Genomic DNA, 6,000 nt, shown 5'->3' on the forward strand with positions numbered 1-6,000 from the left:
TATTTTCTTGTTCTATTTATTGCCAACCAAGTCTACATTTCTACCACATTTCGGCAAGTGAAATAGCAGCTTTCCTGAATTCTCATCAAGGAAAAGGGAACATTACAATTGAACACTTTGTGACTCTAATTGAAAATTATAAAAAGGTTGTTTTCAAAATCCATTAAAGGATACTTTTCAAACGTTATTTCTGAAATTCAGCATTTCAACCTTAGATCTGCGAACTCTTCTCTTTAGTCTAATGTGGATGAATTTATGAGGAAAAGAATAAGCTAATGAAGCCTCTCTACTCTGTGAAGTGATTGTGATAATGCATTCAGTTTCCCATAATGCCAGAAAGGCACAGCAAATTACTGCAGCTGCTCCATCGATGGTGGTTTTGTTTTTCCTAATTAGTAGCTTCTTTTGTATTCTCACTAGAACACATGTGACTCTCATGAACTTTTTTGTTGTCATATTTCTCAAGTTGTGAGGTATTACAGGTACATGTGAAGTTATTTTTATTGTGGCACAAGTGCTGGATACATTAACACACATTTTAAAAGACTGGTAGGAACAAAATGGATGTGTTCTGCAGTATCCAAGTTTAGCTCTTGCATTGCCCAAATTAGAAGCTTTAATCAAAAACATAATAAGCTTTTGTGTATTTTGCACATGAACATATGCCTGAGCCAAAAGAAAGAAGTGCAAAAGAACCTTCGATTTTGTTATTGGGGGCTTGGTTGTTGAAGCAAACAGATCTAGGATGAAGCAATATATATTGTGTTTTATCTGTGAACCATATGGGTTGCATGTAGCCATGGTGGCCAGAGGAGCATCACAGGAAACACAGATCCATCATGTTGAGACTCTGGTTGGAGACAGTTTGTATGAGGTTCTTTCTGTCAGTAGCTTCCTACCTACTGTAGCTCTCACCAATTAGATGAACTTAGAGAAATTAACTTTTGGGATTATGTAACATAAAATTTCCTTGAAAAGCATGTTTGAAAATTAAAAGCACAGTTGTGCATGACAGATTTAATTATTCCAAATTCAGACTCTATTGTTTCAAACCCTGCTTCTGCCTTTGGGTGAATCAGTAGGTCCTACTTTGTAGATCTGAATGCTGAGATTTACCTAACATCAATTTCTGGATGCCAAGTGAGCCTCCTCTTACTGAGTAAGGGGATAGTTGTCATGAACCCAAAAGTCCAATTCCAAAGTCTCATCTGAGACAAGGCAAGTCCCTTCTGCCTATGAGACTGTAAAATCAAAAGCAAGTTAGTTACTTCCAAGATACAGTGGGAGTACAGGCATTGAACAAATGCTCCCATTCCAAATGGGAGAAATTGACCAAAATGAAGGGGCTACAGACCCCAAGCAAGTCTGAAATCCAGTGGGGCAGTCAAGTCTTAAAGCTCCAAAATTACATCCTTTGACTCCATATCTCACATCCAGGTCATGCTGATGCAAGAGGTGGCCTCTCATGTCCTTGGGCAGCTCCACTCTTGTGGCTTTGTAAGGTACAGTGCCCCCCCAACTCCCAGCTGCTTTCATGGGCTGGCGTTAAGTGTCTGTGGCTTTTCTGGGCACACAGTGCAAGCTGTCAGTGGATCTACCATTCTGAGGTCTGGAGGACGGATGGTGGCCATCTTCTCACAGCTCCACTAGGCAGTTCCCCAGTGGGAACTGCTCGGACCCCACATTTCCCTTCTGTACTGTTCTAGCAGAGGTTCTTCATGACGGTTCCACCCCTGCAGCAAACTTCTACCTGGACATCCAGGTGTTTCCATACATCCTCTGAAATCTAAGCAGAGGTTCCCAAACCTCAATTATTGACTTCTGTGCACCCACAGTTCCACTATCATGTGTAAGCTGCCAATGCTTGGGGGTTGCATCCTCTGAAGCAACAGCCTGAGCTCTATGTTGGCCTCTTTTAGCCACAGCTGGGACACAAAGCACCAAGTCCCAAGACTGCACAAAGCAGAAAGGCCCTGGGCTAAGCCCATTAAACCATTTGTTCCTCCTAGGCCTCCAGGCCTGTGATGGGAAGGACTGCTGTGAAGACCTCTGACATGTCCTGGAGACATTTTCCCCATTGTCTTGAGATTAACATTTGGCTTCTCATTACTTATGCAAATCTCTGCAGCTGGCTTAAATTTCTCCTCAGAAAAATTGGTTTTTCTTTTCTATTGCATCGTCAGGCAGCAAATCTTCCAAACTCTCATGCTCTGTTTCCGTTTTAAACATAAGTTCCAGTTCCAAACCATCTCTTTGTAAGTGCCTGGCCAATATGGTGAAACCCCATTTCTACTGAAAACACAAAAATTAGCCAATTGTGGTGGCACATGCCTGTGGCTCCAGCTACTCAGGAGGTTGAGGCAAGAGAATCGCTTTGACCAGGGAGGGGGAGGTTGCAGTGAGTCAAGAATGCACCACTCTGCACTCCAGCCTGGGCTATGAAGTGAGACTCTGTCTCAAAAAAAAAAAAATCTTGCATTTTCTCTGACATTAATAGGCATGCAAAACATGTTAATTTTTTTCTTCTCTGTTTTCCTTTTGCCCTTATTGTGAGAGGTAGGGAGATATGGAGAGAGATGGGGTGAAGTTGGCACAATGTGAAGATAAAAGTGAAAGACAGTAATGGTATTTCACTAAAATGTTTTCCTTAGCTTTTGAAAACTGTTAAGGTTTATCCCACTCTCCTCCTCAAGTCTTCCAAGCTAGACATGTCTATAGGAATGTTTGTGTTGTGTTACTCTGTATCTCCCTTTGGTTGAGTATAGGAGTAAATAGAAGTTGACGTTACTTTTAGATCAAGATATTTCTGAGAATCTGAATGTGATCATCATGCCTCTCTTTATCTTTCTTCTCCTACCTGTCCATCACTCTCATGCTTGCTTTCCAATTCTTTTCCTTTTTTTCTCTTAGCAATTTGGGATCAGAAATGATTCTAAGTAAACTTTAGATCTTGCTCTTTTGTGTTGGAATGAAGGGAATGCAGGATTTTATTTTGAATAATATTGAAGGAAGTGTGGGTTACCTAATATATCACTTTTATAATATTAAAGCTTTTGATATTATTTTTAATTATAGCAGTTACTGATAATAATTATTGAAAATAATTATTGAAATAATTATTGAAAATAATTATTTTCAATTATTTGACTAAAAACATTTTAATTTCACTTTTTTAAATCATACTTTAAGTTCTGGGGTACACGTGCAGAATGTTCAGGTTTGTTACATAGGTATACACGTGCCATGGTGGATTGCTGCACTCATCAAGCTGTCATCTACATTAGGTGTTTCTCTTAAACTCATAAAAATTTTCTAAATGACTCTTCTAGATCAGAAGGCATGAATAGTTTTCAGTCACACAGGACTGGTGATTCCACATATGAAGTTCTGAATAGGTTTTAAATTACTTATTTCTTATATGGTTATGAAATGGATTATGGTTTTCAGTTTTTCAAAACTGACATTGCAAGATGAAACAATTAGTGAGAATGTTTGCTTTTTGTGACTGAGGAAGGACAGTAATGGCTAATAATTAATTAGACTAATGAGACACCATTTAAGAGTACTTTTTTGAGGTACTCGAATTTCTTATCTCAACTTGAAAATGTAAAAAAAAAAGATGAGACATTTGGGATTTCTTTTTTTGCTGTTGGGCCAATATGTTTGTTATTTATTGCTGCAGTAATGAATTATCACAAACCTAGTGGCTTAAAACAACAGTTTTACAGTTCTGGAGTTCATAAGTCTAAAATGGGATCACAGGACTTCCAGAGTGTTCTTCCTGGAAGCTCTAGGGGAAAATGTGTTTCCTTGCCTATTTCAGCTTTTAGAAGCTCCCTGCATTCCTTGGCTCATGGCCCCTTCCTCTATCTTCAAACTCAGCAACATAACATCTGTACTCCTCTCAGATCTCTGCTTCTGTTGTCTCCTTCTTTCTTTTTCCTTCTGCCTCTCTCTTTCACTTATAAGAACACTTGTGATTACATTGAACTCACCTGGATAAGCCAGGATAACATCTCATAGCAAGATTCTTAACTTCATTACATTTGCCCAATCTTAATTTCTTTTACTGTGTAAGGTAACATATGCACAGATTCTGAGGATTAGGTCATGAACATCTTTGATGGGCCAATATTCAGCCTACCATGGCAGTATCAGAATTCTGAAATCTTTGAAGTAAAAGGGAAAAAATTAATGAAAGCTTCTAGGAATCAAGGTCATAAAAGGCAATCAAATATTGAAAAATGGGCACGATGAGAACTGACCGATGAATACCAGCAATAAATAATATGTCACAATGCAGCAGCAAATATTTCAGATATATAACAAGGACATCCATGCAAAGGTATTTTTCGCAGCTTAACAACAGCATACAAAAGGAATAGAAAACAAGTAATAGAGTGAGAGATGGATGGGGTCAAGAAATACTTGTCAGAAAGGTGATGATTTAGAAAGTATATGGCCATTACTGTGAGAATAACAGAGTGGCACTTTTTTATTCTCAGTTTTCACTGGTGATCAGATAGTTGACCTCATGAGACAAAAAGAAGTCAGGGATTACTGTAAAAATATGGTATTGGGATTCATCTTTTTAAGCAAAAATTTTGCCATCTTCTGAAGTGGAAAGGTAAAAAGTCAAATAGTCTGATGTAGGTATAAAAGCTTAATTTTTATTTTGGAAATCATAATTTATATCTATAAATCCTATTTAAATGTACACGAATTTGTTGTCTAAAAGATATGCACATATTAGAAAATCATAACTTTTTCATTGGTAATAATCAAAATGATGAATTCTTGTCTCTCTCTCCATCTGCCCCCATCCCCTCCCCACCTTCTCTCCATTCTGTTGGCTGGCTTTAGTTCAGGCCTTCTTTTCCTATTTCCTGGATTATTCTTTTAGTGTAACTTGTCTCTAGATTTTTATCTACCCCTCTCTGATCTACTTTATATTATGCTGTTGTATTAATTAATTATGTCATTCCATGCTTAAAAACCTTTAATTTATTGCTGGAGAATAAACTTTACACCTTTTGGCCTGACATTGAAGCCCTTCTAAATTTAGTTGCCCTGATATGAATGAGTGACGTGCTGCAGGAGAAAGAGGTGAGGAGTTGGGAGACCTTGGCTGCTGCCCAATTCTACTGCTTACCAAACTGTGAACTTGGGCAAAGCAATTAGCTTCCACGAGCCAGAGCTACTTCATCTTGAAGTTGTAGAGTATCATAATGCCTGGATTAAAAGGTTGTTAAGGGAATCATATTTTTAAAACAATGACTATGAAAGCACTTTAAGTGGACAACAAAATGTTATCCTTATTCTTGTTTGTGATTATTCTTCCCATCTTTTCCTCCATTGAATGTCCTTACGCACTGTCTACTCTGAAGTATTTAATATTCTTCACAAATAGCCCACACTTTACTTTTTTGTATTAGTTTTCTATTGCTGCTGCAACCACAGTACACACAAATTTGGGGGCTTAAAACTATGCAAGTTTATTATCTTATAATTCTAGAGGTCAGAAGCGGAAAACGGGCCTCAGTAGGCTAAAATCAAGGTGTTGGCAGAGCTGTGTTTCTTCTGGATGTGCTGTGGGGAATTTGTCTGTTTGCATTTTCTGGCATCTAGAGGCTGCCCACATTCCAGCAATTGCATCACTCTGACCTCTGCTTTTGTTCTCCTGTCTCCTTCTCTGACTCACACTCCTGTCTCCCTCCTAGAAGAACTATCCTGACCGTGACCATGTTTAGGGCCCACTTAGATAATCCAGGATAATTTCCCCATCTCAATTCCCTTAATTTAATCACTCTTCAAAGTCCCTTTTGCCCAGTAAGATAATGTAGGGGTTAAGATATAGACACTTCCAGGGACCAATTTTTTTGCCTACCACATTTTGCTGAGTTTCTCCTTCCACCTTGGGTTTGCTACTCCCAAAGCACAAGTGCACATCCTACTTAAGTGTCTTCTTTGCTACAAACCTTTTCAGTTACTCCCAACTGG

This window comes from Homo sapiens, chromosome 1 (assembly GCF_000001405.40).
Source record: "Homo sapiens chromosome 1, GRCh38.p14 Primary Assembly".
Lineage (NCBI taxonomy): Eukaryota > Metazoa > Chordata > Mammalia > Primates > Hominidae > Homo > Homo sapiens.